This window comes from Homo sapiens, chromosome 20, assembly GCF_000001405.40.
Source record: "Homo sapiens chromosome 20, GRCh38.p14 Primary Assembly".
NCBI classification, from domain to species: domain Eukaryota; kingdom Metazoa; phylum Chordata; class Mammalia; order Primates; family Hominidae; genus Homo; species Homo sapiens.
Window position 1 is genome coordinate 37,249,688 of NC_000020.11, and position 17,294 is coordinate 37,266,981.

Consider the following 17,294-nt stretch of genomic DNA (forward strand, 5'->3'; position numbering starts at 1 on the left):
TAGCTGGGTGTGGTGGCACACGCCTGTAATCCCAGCTACTCGGGAGGCTGAGGCAGGAGAATCATTTGAACCCTGGCGGTGGAGGTTGCAGTGAGCCGAGATCGTGCCAGTGCACTCCAGCCTGGGAAACAGAGTGAGACTCCATCTCAAAAAACAAACAAACAAACAAACAAAAAAAACACTAAAGAGTCAATTTGTTCCTTTTTTTTTTTTTAACACCTCCAAGTGTCCCCATGAGCCGGCCTCCTGCTCCTCCAGGACTCTTTTCTTTCCACTGACATCCTTGCTCTGGCCCAGGTAGCCACATTGATCCCCTTGCTAGTCCTTCCACACTGCTGCCTCTAAGCCTTTGTTGAGTTTTCACTCTGCCTGAAATGTTCTTTACTCTGATATTTACAAAGCCAACTCCCTCTCTTCCTCAGGTCTTTACTCAAATGTCACATCATCAGTGAGGCCTTCACATATACACAGTGTAGATCAAATTATACCCCCAGCACTCCCTGGCCCTTTAAAGCTTTATCCTTTGCACTTGCCAACATCTGACATATTCTATATTGACTTGTGTTTATTATTCTCTCCCCCACCACACACGCATTGGAATATAAGCTCTATAAGGTCAGGGACTTTGTTCATGACTATCTCTCCAGTGCCCAGAACAGTACCTGGCACAGAGTGGGTATTCTATAAATGTTTGCTGAATGAAGGCCGGGTGCAGTGGCTCACGCCTGTAATCCTAACACTTTGGGAGGCTGAGGCAGGCAGATCACCTGAGGTCAGGAGTTTGAGACCAGCCTGACCAACATGGAGAAACCCCATCTCTACTAAAAATACAAAATTAGCTGGGCGTGGTGGCACATGCCTGTAATCCCAGCTACTCAGGAGGCGAGGGCAGGAGAAACACTGGAACCTGGGAGGCGGAGGTTGTGGTGAGCCAAGATCATGCCATTGCACTTCAGGCTGGGCAACAAGAGTGAAACTCTGTCTCAAAAAAAAAAAAAAAAGTTTGTTGAATCAATAAGTGGTATTGCTTATAGAAGAGCAAATCACACGTGGGTGAAGGATGACTTTGATCGAAGTTAGTTGAATGTGGTTAAGAGCTGGTTCTGAGTTGGACTTGCCTGGATTTGAATCCCAGCGCTCTCATTTGCACGGTGTGACTGTGGGCAATTTGGTTACACTTTCTGAGCCTCAATTCCTTGTCTGTGAAAGGAGGAGGATACCAGTACCCTCCATCAGCCTGTGTAAGGAGCATATGAGATCCTATGCATGAAGCTGCCTGGTTTGCACTCTGCGTGCTTGGTAAATGTTAGCTTTAAAAAAAATTACACCTCGTAATACCACTTTGGGAAATGTAACTATGTAAAACACATAAAAAATTAGGCTGAAGAGAAAAGAACATTTAAATGCACACCGGTATGGGGGAATTTTATTGTATTTTCAAAGGAAAAAGTGGGTCAGAAATGAGAGGATTAACTGGATCCAGTTGCATTTTGGCTACAGGTAGCCCGGGTCACAGGAGGAATCTTCATCCCTGGGAGTTCCTGCTGCAGAAAGAAAGATCAAGCTCAATCCGGGGAATTGAAGTAAGGGTGGCTAGAGTGGGATGCATGGAACCAGGGTGACGGGTGCTCCCGTGACAGGAGCTGGCCTTTTGGATTCCAAAAGAGGCAGTGTGGGGTGGAGGGAAGGATGCGCAAGCATGCCAGCAAGGCGAGTCCCAGGCTTAGCCCCTGCTCTCTGCTCTGCCAGCCAACTCCCACCGAGACCCTGGGCCAGTCACTTCGCCTTGAAGAAGCTTCCTCTAATCCCCAGACAGGCTCAGCGTTCTCCCAGCCTCACCATCACCACTCCCCAGCATCTCTTCCCATTCATCACAATGAAGTAATTGACTGTACAAGAACGTGTCTAGTTCCTTGCTGCTTCGGTGTGTTATGAATTCCATGAGAGCAGGGGTCGCTGCTGTCCTGTACCCTGCTATGCCTCTGGTCCAGAGTGTGGCATGTCATAGTCACTGGATGGTCTTTACAGGGGTGGGAAGATGGCTAAACCCGAGCCTCAGTTTCCTTACAGGGCTGTTACGTGGACACAATGTATGATGGCTGCAAAAGTGTGCCATCTGTCACATGGCTCTACTCTGCACTCTAAAGCAGGAACTTATTCCTGCTCACCAGTGATATCCTGGTATTTGCAGCAGTTGAGCTGGAGGGGGAACAATGGCTATAGCAGCCTTCGGGGCCCTTCCTGCCAGCTCTGCGGGCTCTGTGATTTCAATCTCCGTGAAGCCTCTGGCTTTTAACTCGCGGGAACAAAGCCTGCATTCTTAGGATTAGCCCTCCATGGAGCCATCCACCCTACTGGGGCCTGATGAGAGCCATAGCAGGTGAACAATTACTTAATCCCAGCCTGCAAGGCACAGAGGAGGCCTTCTTCTTAGAGACATTATTTTTGAACTCTTGTCTTGCGGACCCTAGAGATGGTAAGAGCTAACCCCTCCTTTCACAGAGTCGAAACGAAGAAGTGTGTTGCTGTGCCGCTAGTTGCAGAAACAGGCCTGGGGCCCAGGTGTTCTTCCCGCCTCCCAGACTGGTTGTCGCCTCTCCTGTCATCTGCCGTAGGCCTGGTGCTGCTTGTAGGTGGTGAAATCTCTGGGCTGGTGGTGTCTAATCGGGTTGGGAAGAAGGTGAGAGAGGCCATGGAGCGCTCTGCTGGGAACTGGATTTGCTTAATAGCTTGGACCAGAAGTGCCCAGCAGAGCCACACTGGGACCTGCTTGTGCTCGCAGTTAAATCAGGCTCTAGGCCGGGTGCGGTGGCTCATGCCTGTAATCCCAGCACTTAGGGAGGCCATGGCAGGTGGATCACCTGAGGTCAGGAGTTCGAGACAAGCTTGGCCAGCATGGTGAAACCCCATCTCTACTAAAAGTACAAAAAATTAGCCGGGCGTGGTGGCGGGTGCCTGTAATCCCAGCACTTTGGGAGGCCATGGCAGGTGGATCACCTGAGGTCAGGAGTTCGAGACAAACTTGGCCAGCATGGTGAAACCCCATCTCTACTAAAAGTACAAAAAATTAGCCGGGCGTGGTGGCGGGTGCCTGTAATCCCAGCACTTGGGGAGGCCAAGGAGGGTGGATCACCTGAGGTCAGGAGTTCAAGACCAGCCTGGCCAACATGGTGAAACCCTGTCTCTACTAAAAGTACAAAAATCAGCCAGGCATGGTGGCAGGCGCCTGTAATCCCAGCTACTCGGGAGGCTGAGAATCACTTGAACCCTGGAGGCAGAGGCTGCAGTGAGCCGAGATCACGCCACTGCACTCTAGCCTGGGTGATGAGAGTGAAACTCCATCTCAACAACAACAACAAATCAGGCTCTAAACCCCAGCAGAGTTTCTCCAAACAACCACGACATTTTTGGGAAACTTTGCCCATGAAGTGGGGGCTTTGTGCAAAGAAGTTCCAGGGAGGCAAAACAGGTCTGGGCCTGCCATTCCCTGACTTGGGGCCAGCTGCCGCCCCGTCTTTGCCTCACTTTTCCTCCTCTGTAGACTCCCAGGAGAAACGTGAGGGCCAGTGAGCTGGGGAACGACAGTCATCACGTCTCTCGTCTGCTGATCGTGTGTCTGCGCACACTCATCTACCACAGGGTGTGGGAGGGCTGGTCTGTCTTTGGCTTGATAGTTTTTTGAACTTGGCAAGGGAACCAGAGCATGCCTGTCAGTTCACCTGCAGCCGAATCCTTGGGAACACCTGTTAAAATTCAGATTTCTGGGTCGTATCACGGAACCATTTGGTGAGTAACATTTTTGGGCATGGACACTGAGCCTGGCCTCTGGCTCCGCACTGGGATACAGCCATGGATAAGATGCGGTCTCCATCAGACACTTTCCACCCTTCATGACTAAAGAACTCTCCTAATATTGATTGATTGATTGACTGATTGAGACGGGATCTCACTATATTGGGCAAGCTGGTCTCAAACTCCTGGCCTCCAGTGATCCTTCCCCATCAGCCTCCCAAAGTGCTGGGATTATAGGCATGAGCCACTGCACCTGGGCACTCCCCTAGTTCTTCTTCTTTTTTTATTTTAGACAGAGTCTTGCTCTGTCACCCAGGCTGGAGTGTAATGGTGCGATCTCAGCTCACTGCAACCTCCGCCTCCCAGCTTCAAGCGATTCTCCTGCCTCAGCCTCCCGAGTGGCTGGGATTACAGGCGTGAGCCACTACACCTGGCTCATTTTTGTATTTGTAATAGAGACAGGGTTTTGCCATGTTGGCCAGGTTGGTCTTGAACTCCCGACCTCAGATGATCCACCCACCTTGGCCTCCCAAAGTGTTGGGATTACAGGTGAGCCACCATACCCAGCCACTCTCCTAGTTCTTAATGTCTGTCAGGAGGGTCCTTGTTCTTGGTTTGTTTGGCAGAGCCCCATACCTTCAGAGAGGAGTGGATTTTTTCCTTTTCCTGGCAAACCACGGGGTAGGAAGCCCTGAAGTCCCTAGATGCACCCATGCACACACACCCATACCTGTGCTTCTGCAGCAGGGCCACCAGGATGCTCTCCAATTCCATTTGCTTTTGTTCTGCCCACATGCTGTCTACCTGACGACCAAGCCGTGCCCTTGCTCCTCGCTCTTGGTTGCTCTCTCTGTGTGGTTAGAAAAAGAGAACTAGTTGCTATTTGGGTAGGATGTGGAAAGGCAGGGGTATATCCCTATGCCTATTTCAATATCTGGTGTGGACTCTTCTACCCAACTGAATTAGATTCAGCCACACTTAGGGAGGCAGTATATATAGTAATGAAGAGCACAGAAGTACAAGTGTACACAGTTGCAAAACGTCTCCCCACAGATTATTAATGATAGAGGGAAAAATAACTTTATAGAGGAGAAACCTAGCAGACACCATGTTAACCAACTGATCAAAGTTACCATCTACCAATAATCCACCAATAATGGCACAAATTGCCATCCTGTGCCTCCTGATACCAGGCACTGAGAAGGACACAACACTACTTCTGTGAATGCATCACCTGATTCCTCTAATCATCATTAGAGGAACGCATCCTCTAATCATGGGGATATGTCTGGCAAATTCAACATGAGGGACATTCTATAAATCATTAGCCTTTACTAATCAAAACTGTCAATGTCATGAAAGACTGAGGAACGATTCCAGATTAAAAGAAACTGAAGGGACATGACAACTAAATGGTATCCATGATCCTGGATTGGGTCCCAGATCAGAAAAAGAAATAATTGTTATAAAGGACATTTTGGGACAACTGGTAAAATTTGAATATGGATTATAATTGATAATTATATTATGATTATGTAAGGGGATGTCCTTTGGTTAGGTATTAGGAAACACATATAGAAGTACCTAAGGGTAAAGGGTCATGATGACTGCAATTTACTCTCCAATGGTTCAACAAAAATGATAAGAATACTTAATGTGCATATGTGTTTCTGTGTGTATGTATCTATATCTAGCTATAGATATAGAGTAAGCAAATGTGATAAAATGTTAGGAATTGGAAGTGTATATGGAAGTCCATTGTGCTTTTGTTGCAACTTTTTTGTAAGTTTGAGATTTTTTTCAAAGTAAAAACTAAAAAACGTATAGGCTATAGAGTCAGGCAGTTTGGCTCCAAACTCTGCCACTCTTTGTGTGTCCTTTAAAAGCTATTAACCCTGGGCCAGGGCGCAATGGCTCACACCTGTAATCCCAGCACTTTGGGAGGCCGAGGCGGGCAGATCACGAGGTCAGGAGATCGAGACCGTCCTGGCTAACATGGTGAAACCCCGTCTCTACTAAAATATACAAAAAATTAGCTGGGCATGGTGGCGGGCACCTGTAGTCTCAGCTACTCGGGAGGCTGGGGCAGGAGAATGGTGTGAACCCGGGAGGGGGAGCTTGCAGTGAGCCGAGATTGTGCCACTGCACTCCAGCCTGGGGGACAGAGAGAGACTCCATCTCAAAAAAAAAAAAAAAAAAAAAAAAAAGAGCTATTAACCCTGTACAATGGGGATAAGGGTTGTTATGAAGATTAAAGAAGAAACTAAAAGCTGGGCAAGGTGGCTCACAACTATAATCCCAATGCTTTGGGAGGCCAAGGTGGGAGGATCACTTGAGGCCAGGAGTTCGAGACCAGCCTGGGCAAAATAGTGAGACCCCATCTCTACAAAAAATAAAATAGTCAGTTGTGGTGGTGCACACTGGTAGTCCTAGCTACTTGGTAGGCTAAGATGGGAGGGTCGCTTGAGTCCAGGCATTTGAGGTTACAATGAGGCATGATCATTCCACTGTACTCCAGCCTGGGCAACAGAATGAGACCCTGTCTCTAAAAAAAAGAAAGCAAGAAACTAAGAATAATAGTAGCTGACACTACCAAGGGCATCTGTGTGCCCAGCACTGTGCCAAGTGTCTGTAAATGTCCTAGGGCAGAGCCTTTGTTTTTGGCATGGAGTCATGATTAAATGGTAACTACTACCAGTGTTGTTACTGTCGGAGCCTAGCCTGAAGAGACACGTGGTAGGCATGGAGGTAAGTTGAGGTTTAACGCTGGAACCCTTTTGCTATGGGAAGTCCAGAAATGACACTTGCTGTGCCAAGGAAGAGATCTGAATTGGTCCCTGGTCCCCTGTAGGGAACAAGCTCCTGCAGACTCTGCTGCAGGGTGTGGGAAGAAATCACTAGAACTCCTGCTTACCCCTGCTGCCTGCTCATGATGTCCTGGAGCAGCTTGCGGGCGGACAGCTGGCCCAGCACCTTCCGGTAGCTGTTGGTGAAGATGGCATCTGCATACCGCCGCATCCTGTGCGGAAGGAGTCAGGGGTCAGAGGGCGGGGTGGAGGCCAGGCGAGAGGACAGTCGTGGCTGCACTCGCCATGTCTCTGCAAGATCCTTCTGTTGCCATCTGTCCCACTCACCCCAAGAGAGACTCAGACCCCTCTGAGTGACCTCTGTGAAGCTGTGTCTGCCTCCTCTGCAAGGACGGGCAGTGGGTGCTGCCTGGAGACATAGCCAGGGCCCAGCTGATGGGCTGAGTCTGCATTCACTAACGCCTGCCCCATGGCAGGGATGGCTTGGGAGTGGTGGGAACTTTCCCCAGGGTCTGCTTACCTGAGGGTCAAAGGGGGAGGTGGGGAGCAGTGGGAGCTGTTGCTGAGGGTGAGGATCACAAAGAAGAACACCCAGAGTGGCATCCTTCACCCGGGGTGGCACCTGCAGAGTGACAGGAGGGGAAGGTCAGGTACAGCCACAGCCATTGGGATGGCCTTCACTGGCCCAGCCCTGGGCTTGGCTCCATGGCAAGCCTTGGTCCTTGGTTTTTGGAAGCTGTGGGATGGGAAAAAGAACCCAGACACTGGAAGTCAGACAGACCTGAGTTCATGTTCTGCCTCTGCCAGCCACCTGCTCTGACTTCATTTTCTCCATCTGTAGAATGGGCGTGATGGAGCTCCCCTGCCAACCACATAGGGTTGAACCAAAAACCAGTGATAGTAGGGAAATTTCCCCTTGCCATAAGGTATTAGAAGTAGGATTTGGGCTCAGGCACAGTGACTCACGCCTGTAATCCCAGCACTTTGGGAGGCTGAGGTGGGCGGATCACCTGAGGCCAGGAGTTTGAGACCAGCCTGGCCAACCTGGTGAAATCCCATCTCTACTAACATTACAAAAATAAGACAGGAGTGGTGGCGTGTGCCTGTAATCCCAGCTACTCAGGAGGTTGAGGCACGAGAATCCCTTGAACCCAGGAGGTGGAAGTTGCAGTGAGCCAAGATCGTCCCATGCACTCCACGCTGGGTGACAAAGTGAGACCCTGTCTCAAAAAAAAAAAAAAAAAATTTAAATAAATAGAATAAATGGGATCCCTTAGCAAGGAATGGGGAAGGTCAAAGAACCTTCTCTCAGTGCCCCTCATTCAACCCCATCCAGTGTGGCAGTGAAAGCAGGCAGCAAGGGTAACTGCTCAGCTCTGAGTCAGACAAACTGGAAGTTCAAATCCTGGCTCTGCTGTCATTAGCTGTGTGTCCCAGGACAAGTGGCTTCACCTCTCTGAGCCTTATTTTCCCCGGCCATAAAACCAAGATAGTAACTAGACCTCCTACTTCGGCTCCTGGAAGGATCTGGTGAGGTAAGTGCCTGAACCAATAGGGAATTCTCTAGAAACCTTTGCTGTGTCTACCTAAGACCAACCCTCTCAGAGGGCAGGCTCTTCCTGTTTTAATTTTGTTTGGAGTTGGAGAGAGGGGAGAAGGGCTCTAAGTCTTGCTCCAGATGCTTAGATTTTGCTGAAGAGTTTTAGTCCTGGAAGAGACTGAAGAGCCGGGGGATCCAGTGTGGCGCAGTCATCTCATAGGTCCTGTAACTACCCTTAATTGGGGCCTGCGGACAGCATGCTCTGCAATTAGGGGAAAAACAGCCAGCAGGGGACAGAGCCCGCCTCCGCTGGGGCAAGTGCCACTGCTGTCAGCCCAGACCTGCCCAAGCATGGAAACACGGCTGGCCTCGGGGGACTTGGCCACCTAGGAATTGGGTCCTCCCATCTCCCATGGGTTTCTCCCTCTCTCAGCAGGATGTCTACTCCATGGGGGTGTAGATCCATCCAGAAGCCCAGCCAGCCCCGGAGGTGGCCAGCACCCCCGCCTTTCCCACAATCTCCTCACATGGCTTCCTTCTCTCCCACTCCTGGGTCCTGCTGAGGAGTTCTGGCAGGCAGGGCCAGCACTGGCAGAACCCACCTTGCTCTCCCGGCCCTCTCAGGGTATCACCCTCCTTTCTGAAGGCACTGAAGTCTCCTCTAACCCAGGGATGCCTTGGGCCCCCAGGCAGCACTCAGGGGGTCTGCTTACTGCAGCCTGAGACCCTGTACCTGCAGAGCTGGAGGGAGCAGCAGCCCAGGCCTCAGTGGTCAGCCCCTCCCTCCATGACATGAGCATCCCCACAACACGCACACTGGCTGTCCTCCACTTCCTGCTCGAGTGAGCACTTGCTGCCAGCGAATGACAGGGATCTCACTACCCCCAGGCCCGGGAGCTTATTTCCAGATGGTTCTTTATTTATTTATTTTGAGAGCGGGTCTCACTCTGTGGCCCAGGCTGAGGTGCAGTGGTGCAATCATAGCTCACTACAGCCTCAAACTCCTGGGCTCAAGCAATCCTCCTGCCTCAGCCTCCTGAGTAGCTGGGACAGCAGGCATGTGCCATCATGCCCAGCTAATTTTGAAATTTTTTGTAAAGATAAAGTCTCACTATATTGCCGAGGCTGGTTTCAAACCCCCGGGCTTAAGTGATCCCCCCGCCTCAGCCTCCCAAAGAGTTGAGCTTATAGGCATGAGCCACAATGCCAGGCCCAGGCAGTTCTTATTGTTAGGAAGTTTGTCTCACCATGTCAAGCCCAAATCTCCTTCTCCTGCAAATGTTTGTTAAGCCTCTACTGTTCCGGTAAGGACTGGGGCTAGAGAAAAGATGAGAACACGGGATCTACCCCGAGGGCTGGCTGTGTAACATCCGCCTGCTGGGCTGGAGCCTCTGCACCTACAGCCACACGACTGGTCCTTTAGATATGTTCCGCATGTCTGACTTAAGCTTTTGTTCCTCAGACCAAGGCTCGGCAGGCTTCCGTCCTCCTCATCGCACCATACCACGTCTGGTCCCCCTTCTCCCCACCTGGTCCAGGCTGCCTCTCCAGAAGTGGAATTTCCTAAGCCGAGAGATCTCTGGATGCAAGCAGGGCCCCTTGACAGAAACCACTGCCTTTTCTGTCTCCCAGCTGCAGCCTGGCTTTCTTGCCTTCTTTGCTGCTGATCTTTTAAAGATTCAGGCAGATCTAGGTCCCCAATCACCTCCCTCCCCTGCTCAGAAGCCCTTGGCTCCCCACTCCTTCCAGAATAAAGCTCAAACCCCTTCTCTTGGCTTAAGCTCTCCCTCTGCCTGCCCCTTCTCCCAAGGGCTGGCACAAGTGATTCCCAGCCCCTGTGCCCTATCAGGCTCCACAACCCATCCTTGCACTCTCCCTCTGGAGCAGGCATCCCCATGCTCCTCTTACAGCCAAGGAAAAGAGCCTAGAGAGGACAAGGACATTTTCCATGATCCTCCATCAAATTAGTTTTGGAGTGGGCACTTCAGAGTGGGCCTCCTCATTCCCAGGCCGGCAGACTTCCTTCCGCTCCATGCAGCAGCCTCCCAGGTACAATGCTCTATTCACAGTATTCCCCATTCACAGGGATCCTCAGCCTCCATCACCTGCACGTGGGAAAGGGTCTGAAAAAAAGGAAAGCTTCTTGCTCTTTGTTGTTGGGCCTCTGGGGAAGAAAGAACAGGGACAAACAGGAACACCTGCTTGATTGGCCCCTCCCTATGCACACCCAGTAGTTTCAGGGAGTTGAAACAACCTCATAGGAGGGCAGACTTTGGTGGGGAGGGCAAGTCATAGTAAACACAATACCCCGCTCATTCAAGATAAGGCTCAGCAACTGCACAAGTTAACCAAGAGGCTCAACATTTGCCACAAATCCTGTGCCCCAGGCATAGGTCAAGACCCCACAGCAACCTCTGAGCTATGAGAACCGAATCCATGGGTTTGCAGATCCCACTGGATGAAAATGGGAAACAAGAATTATCCAGTGTAGGGTAAGATAAGAAGAATAGAGGTTATGTCACTAAGGATAAAATAGCTCCAGCCTGAGCAACATGGCGAGACCCCATCTCTACAAAAAAAAAAACACACAAAACAAAACAAAAAAAAACTTATCTAGGCATGGTGGCGCATGCCTGTAGTCCCAGCTACTCTGGAGGCTGATGTGGGAGGATTGCTTGAGCCCGGGAGGTTAAGGCTGCAGTGATCCATGATAGTGCCACTGCACAGTAGCCTAAATGTCAGAGCAAGACCCCATCTCAAAGAATAAAATAAAATAGCTGTCAACAGACACATTCCACATGACAACTTAAGGAGTCAAAATTCACTGAATGAAGTGTAGCCGAGCCCAACAGCATTGCTGGCAACCCTGATGACTGAAGGCACTCCAGAGTTTATAATCTATCATTATGATCATCGGTTAGCTTCCTGCAGTGCTTACTGATTCTGGGATTAGATGTACTTGAGATTGCCTGGATTCAGGATAAACGGGCACTTGATCTACATCCGTTGGCACCTTTTGCCAGCTTTCATGCCAGGAATGCCAGGAGAATTCTGCAGATTCACCTGCAGCTGACAGAGGTCAGGTCTCAAGCACCCAAATTCGCAAGGCCATTTTTGAAAACCCAGGGAAAGAACATCTTTAACCTTCCTTGAATATCCCCCTTTGAAATTTGAGCACCCCAAAGCATAGACTTCCTGATCTGGTTTATAAACTGTTTCAGTGACAGCATTCCAAGTTAAAAGAAATCTAAGTTTTTAATGAGGAAGCATCTTGAACTGTCATTCAAAAGAGTGACACTCCACCTCCTTCCAGAAGGGGTTTGAGGCAGTCTATGGTGAAAGACACAAATACTTCAGGACCATTAAAGCAAGGATCAGGAGACAGGCGTGGGGTAGCGGAGGACTCCAAAGGCAGATAATTGTGTCTAAAACCTGGAGTAAAGAGTGTGGCTGCAATTGAGCAAGAAAGCAAAATGTTATCAATTTCCCGGCAATTACATTGAATCAGTTCTGAGTGATCAATGAGCAGTATTGATTTGCACAGCCACTTGGCTCATCTCTGATCCATGGCAGAATCCCATCGCTGACAGGAAAATCGAGCCAACTCACGTTTGCCCCCGAAGCCTGCCCACGCATCCTCGAAGGAGCACTGAGACCTCACCACCTGCGACAGACACCTGGAGCCAGTCCGCCACGCGCCCAAGTTAAGACAAGCCCCAAACAGCACCATCAAAAGCCTATTCCAGAGCCCCTATTGAGGGGTGATTTTATCCAGAGAGGGGCTCAAATGTACTCACCAGTCCATGGGCAAAGAGGATGGCGGTGGGCCTCTTGGACTCAGTGTTTCTAAGTTGGTGAGAAGGTTAACTTTTCTTACCCCCACCCAGCCTAGCCCCCCCAGGGCCACCCCTCTCACCTGATGCGGCAGATATCCCTCTGCTCCGAGGCACTGCTCAAATCCAGGGGCCCTGGGCTGGGTGTTTGCTCTGGCAGCCGCCTGGCGTTCCCATCATTTATCTCTTCATTTTCCTAAGCGTTGTCAGCGTCAGAGAATCAATTACCCACAAGTCAACCAAAGGACTGTTTTTAGCATCATATCACACTGACAAACCCTGTTGGTGAAAGAGGTTTGGCCCCTTGCAGACTTAGACTCCTGGTAAAGTCTCCTTTTATCTTTGGCACAGTGGACATAGTACAAAGGTGTAACATTATTCCAAGAGGATATAGAGAATATATACTGCTATAATAGTGATTGGAGAACTCGGCTGGGCGCGGTGGCTCACACCTGCCATCCTAGCACTTTGGGAGGCTGAGGCGGGTGGATTGCCTGAGCTCAGAAGTTTGAGACCAACCTGGGCAACATAATGAGACCCTGTCTCTAGAAAAAAATTAAAAATTAGCTGGGCATGTTGGCACATGGGTATAGTCCCAGCTACTCAGGTGGCTGAGGCAAGAGTGTCACCTGAGCCTGGGAGGCGGAGGTTGCAGTGAGCCAAGACCACGCTATGGCACTCCAGCCTGGGTGACAGAGCACGACTCTATCTCAAAATATATATTTTTTAAAAAAAGAAAAAATATGTGTTAAAAATAATTGGAGAACTCATAACAGTGAAACACCAAGAGTTTATTGATTCTCCAAGATAAATGTGCCTTTTCAAAAGTTCATATAATTTAGCTTTGTCCCTGTGTAATTTTATTTCACTTTTGGGTAGACAACATTATGAATAAGCGTTATTCTCTCCTTAGTGGGGAATTTGTTCCCTATCTCCCTTGTCGTCCAATTATCAGAATTCTGCACTATTTGATTTACACCTGCTTGGTCACAGGCTGATTTCAACAGCTAGCCTGGGGGCATCCGTCGTCACCTGTCAAGGCAGCCAGACATTGGCAGTTGCCTCAGAGAAGTGTGAAATGAGAGGGAAGAGATGGAAAACCTTGGGAGAGTTGTTGTGTTTCCAGATTTCTCTAGCCTATAGCTAAGAAATCCTCAGGAATGACATAAAAGCACAGGAGGCAGAAGCTCTGGTTTCCCAGGCGGCCGTCGTGGAGGTGTGGAAAGAGCTCCAAGCCTCGAGTCTAGGGACCTGCTGCCTCTCCCAAGCCTGTCAATCATGACCTCTGTGACCCTTAGGAAGTTACTTCTACCTGGCTGGGTGCAGTGGCTCACACCTGTAATCCCAGCACTTTGGGAGGCTGAGGCGGGTGGATCATGAGGTCAGGGGTTCGAGACCAGCCTGACCAACATGGTGAAACCCCGTCTCTACTAAAAATACAAAAATTAGCTGGGTGTGGTAGTGGGCACCTGTAATCCCAGCTACTCAGGAGGCTGAGGCAGGAGAATTGCTTGAACCCGGGAGGTGGAGGTTGCAGTGAGCCGAGATCGTGCCACTGCACTCCAGCCTGGGCGACAGAGCGAGACTCTGTCTCAAAAAAAGAAAAAAAACTTCTACCCTCCGGGCCTCAGTTTCTACCTGGAAACTTGAGAGTTGACATAGAACAGCAACTTTCAAACTATTTTTTTGAGAGGGATCCTATCTTTGCCACCCAGGTTGGAGTGCAGTGGCATAATCTCGACTCATTGCAACCTCCACCTCCCGGGTTCAAATGATTCTCCTGCCTTAGCCTCCAGAGTAGCTGGGATTACAGGTGCGTACCACCACGCCTGGCTAAGTTTTGTATTTTAGTAGAGATGGGATTTCACCATGTTGGCCAGGTTGGTCTCAAACTTCTGACCTCAGGTGATCCACGTGCTTCTGCCTCCCAAAGCACTGGGATGACAGGTGTGAGCCACCACACCCAGCCCAAACATTTTTTAAAAAGTAGCAAAACTCTTTCTTTGGAAACCTACAGAGACAGGTTTTTAATATGGGGCTACTCTGGTTGAAGAGGGGGAAGTGGAGACCCCCTTGCCTATCCCTGAGGTACCTCGATGGGTCACAATTACAAGCCAGTAATTTCCAAGAGTCCCCTTAGCAACACTATTTTGTGGTTCTCCTTCTTAGCCTGCACTGAGCCATGTTCTTGGCATCTAGCAAATATGAGATGTTTCTCATAGAAGCAAGGCTTGAGTGGTATGTCACCTTGCTGGCCAGGATACGAAGTGGTCAGGTCAGGCCAGATCCCCAAGGATTAAGAATGGGCTGATAGTGGCCAGGTGCGGTGGCTCATGCCTGTAACCCCAGCACTTTGGGAGGCCGAGGCAGGCGGACTGCCTGAGCTCAGGAGTTCGTGACCACTCTGGGCAACATGGTGAAACCCCGTCTCTACTAAAATACAAAAAAATTAGCTGGGTGTAGTGGCATGTGCCTGTAATCCCAGCTACTGGGGAGGCTGAGGCACAAGAATAGCTTAAGCCCCAGAGGCAGAGGTTGGTGTGAGCCGAGATGGCGCCGCTGCACTTCAGCTTGAACAACAGAGTGAGACTCTGTCTCAAAAAAAAAAATAAATAAAAACAGGGCGTGGTGGTTCACGTCTGTAATCCCAGCACCTTGGGAGGCTGAGGCGGGCGGCTCACGAGGTCAGGAGATCGAGATCATTCTGGCTAACATGGTGAAATCCCGTCTCTATTAAAAATACAAAAAATTAGCCGGGCGTGGTGGTGGGTGCCTGTGGTCCCAGCTACTCGGGAGGCTGAGGCAGAAGAATGGCTCAGGACCCAGGAGGCGGAGCTTGCAGTGAACCAAGATGGTGCCACTGCACTCCAGCCTGGGTGACAGAGTGAGACTCCGTCTCAAAAAAATAAATAAAATAAATAAATAAATAAAAATAAAAATAAAAATAAATGGGTTGATAGCTTTAAATTAATTATTATTATTATTATTTTATTTACTTAATTTTTTGGAGACAGGGTCTCGCTCAGGCTAGAGTGTAGTGGTGAGATCTCAGCTCACTGCAGCCTTGACCTCCTAGGCTCAAGCAGTCCCCAACCTCAGCCTCCTGAGTAGCTGGGACTGCAGTTGCACGCCACCATGCCCAGCTAATTTTGTTTATTTTTAGTAGAGATGAGATCTCACTATGTTGTCCTGGCCAGAACTCAAATATTATTTAAAAAAAAAAAGTGCAGGTCACAGCAGCAGGGAGCAGACGAAGCAGTTGGGAGCCCCAGGGCTATGGGCTCTCGCACAGTCAGGAAGTGTGGGGTAACTCCTGGAAATGCAAAGTGGGGACCATGCAGAGCTGGGCACCCAGAGTGGACGCTGGTCCAGGGCACAGATGCAGGTTACATGGAGTTGGCCGGAGAAGCCATGGGGCTCAGAATCCAGCCTCGGTTGAAACTCTGTGCCAGGCATTGTGCTACAGACTTCACGCCCTATCTCAGTTTTCTTATTTGTAAAATGGGAGTGATAGAGCTCAACTTATGAGGCTCTTGGGTGAGAATTATTGTGACATTGCATAAAGGGCAGACCTGGCATAGGGCAGAGCTCACAATTTAGCTTTGATAATTGCTGTTCTTGTCATTGCGGTAAATGAGGAAACAGGCATGAAAGGTTACGTGCTCAGCCACAGCCACAGAGCTAGTCAGTAGCTGGAAGAGCTATGACTCAAACATGTTTTCTGACTTCCTTACAGCCCCAGCTACTCAGGAGGCTGAGGCAGGAGGATCACTTGAGCCCAGGAGTTAGAGGCTGCAGTGAGCTATGTTCGTGCTTCCGTACTCCAGCCTGGGCAATGGAGTGACACCTTGTCTCTATTGAAAAAAAAAGGAAAAAAAAGTTTTCTGATTTCCAATTTGTTTGCCCCACACTAAGGCCCTTCCTGGGCCTACCAGTTCTAATTTTTTTTTTTTTTTTTTTAAAAAGAACTTCAACAGTTTGGCCGGGCGTGGTGGCTTACACCTGTAATCTCAGCACTTTGGGAGGCCGAGGCAGGCGGATTGCCTGAGGTCAGGAGTTCGAGACCAATCTGGCCAACATGGTGAGACCCTGTCTCTACTAAAAATACAAAAAAATTAGGCGGGCGTGGTGGCATGCGCCTGTAATCCCAGCTACTCGGGAGGCTGAGGCAGGGGAATTGCTTGAACCAGGGAGGTGGAGGTTGCAGGGAGCCAAGATCGCGCCACTGTGCTCCATCTTGGGCGACAGAGGGAGACTCCATCTAAAAAACAAATAAACAAACAAAAAAGAGTTAACATATCATAAAGCTCACTGGTTTTAAGTCTATGGCTCCATGAGCTTTCATACATTTATACGGTGGTGCCACCATTGCCACAATCCTGTTTTGGAATGCTTCTGTCCCTCCAAAAATTCCCTCTAGCCCATTTGCTCTCAGTCTCCACTCTTGCCCCCTGCCCTAGGCAACCCCTAATCTGCTGTCTTACAGTTTTTCCTTTGCTAGGAAATTCCTATAAATGGAATCTTTTATATGATGAGTAAATCATAATAAATCAAATAAAATACGCACTTTTTGGTGTCAGGCTTCTTTCACTCAGCATAATGTTTGACCTTCATCCATGTTGATCCAGGTATTAATAGTTTGTTCCTTTTTATTCCATTGTATGGATGTATGACTGTTTGTTTACCCATTCACCTTGATGGACATTTGGGTTGATTCCAGTTTGGGGCTAGTATGAATTATGCTGCTACGAACTTTTTTTTTTTTTGAGACAGGGTCTTGCTGTCACATAGGCTGGAGTGCAGTGGCACAATCTCAGCTCGCTGCAGCTTTGACTTCCTGTGCTCAAGTGATCCTCCCACCTCAGCCTCCTGAGTAGCTGGGACCACAGGCGTGATCCGCTGCGCCCAGCTAATTAAAAAAAATTTTTTTGTAGCAATGGGGTCTCTCTATATTGCCCAGGGTCTCTCTCTATCAAACTCTTGGGTTCAAGTGATCCTCCCACCTCGGCCTCCCAAAGTGTTGAGATTACAGGTGTGAGTCACCCTGCCTGAACTGCTATGAATATTTCAGTAGGAGACCTTGTGTGAACATGTTTTCATTAATCTTGGGTGGGTACCTAGGAGGGGAATCACTGGGTCATATAATGAGGGTTTAGCTTTTTAAGAAACTGCCAGTCTTTTCCACAATGGCTGTACCATTGACTTTCCCCCCAGCAGCGATGGGGGTCTGCCCCCGAATTTCTTAAATGAGCATTTATTTCCTCATCCCACAAACCCCTCTTAAGCAACTAATTAGGCCCACGTAGAGCTTGCTGGATTAGC

The 17,294-nt window shown here is 49.4% G+C and overlaps 1 protein-coding gene across 2 annotated transcripts, besides 3 other annotated features; it reads right to left on the reverse strand.

Annotated features, from left to right (window-relative positions):
* Positions 1-1,398: 1,398 nt before the first annotated feature.
* On the reverse strand, positions 1,399-12,127 carry GHRH (growth hormone releasing hormone). 2 transcript variants are annotated; one of them, NM_001184731.3, is made up of 5 exons: positions 12,056-12,127; positions 7,120-7,221; positions 6,707-6,811; positions 4,523-4,642; positions 1,399-1,541 (listed from the first exon to the last, which is right to left on the reverse strand). In NM_001184731.3, exons 2-5 carry the CDS (start codon positions 7,200-7,202, stop codon positions 1,526-1,528), a joined length of 324 nt encoding a protein of 107 aa, NP_001171660.1. In that variant the 5' UTR covers positions 7,203-7,221; positions 12,056-12,127; the 3' UTR covers positions 1,399-1,525. The 2 variants fall into 2 exon arrangements, with proteins under 2 accessions (NP_001171660.1, NP_066567.1); NM_021081.6 differs by having other exon boundaries at positions 1,399-1,544.
* Positions 8,312-8,545: a silencer, noted in NCBI's record as "fragment chr20:35886402-35886635 (GRCh37/hg19 assembly coordinates)". NCBI's record gives its function as "represses an EF-1alpha promoter that drives an FKBP-Casp9 reporter gene in an ReSE screen in phorbol 12-myristate 13-acetate-treated (for megakaryocytic differentiation) K562 erythroleukemia cells {active_cell/tissue: K562(+PMA)}" and the evidence as "EXISTENCE:reporter gene assay evidence [ECO:0000049][PMID:32094911]".
* Positions 15,459-15,578: a silencer, noted in NCBI's record as "silent region_12886". NCBI's record gives its function as "represses an Ori minimal core promoter by ATAC-STARR-seq in GM12878 lymphoblastoid cells {active_cell/tissue: GM12878}" and the evidence as "EXISTENCE:reporter gene assay evidence [ECO:0000049][PMID:35858748]".
* Positions 15,719-15,768: a silencer, noted in NCBI's record as "silent region_12887". NCBI's record gives its function as "represses an Ori minimal core promoter by ATAC-STARR-seq in GM12878 lymphoblastoid cells {active_cell/tissue: GM12878}" and the evidence as "EXISTENCE:reporter gene assay evidence [ECO:0000049][PMID:35858748]".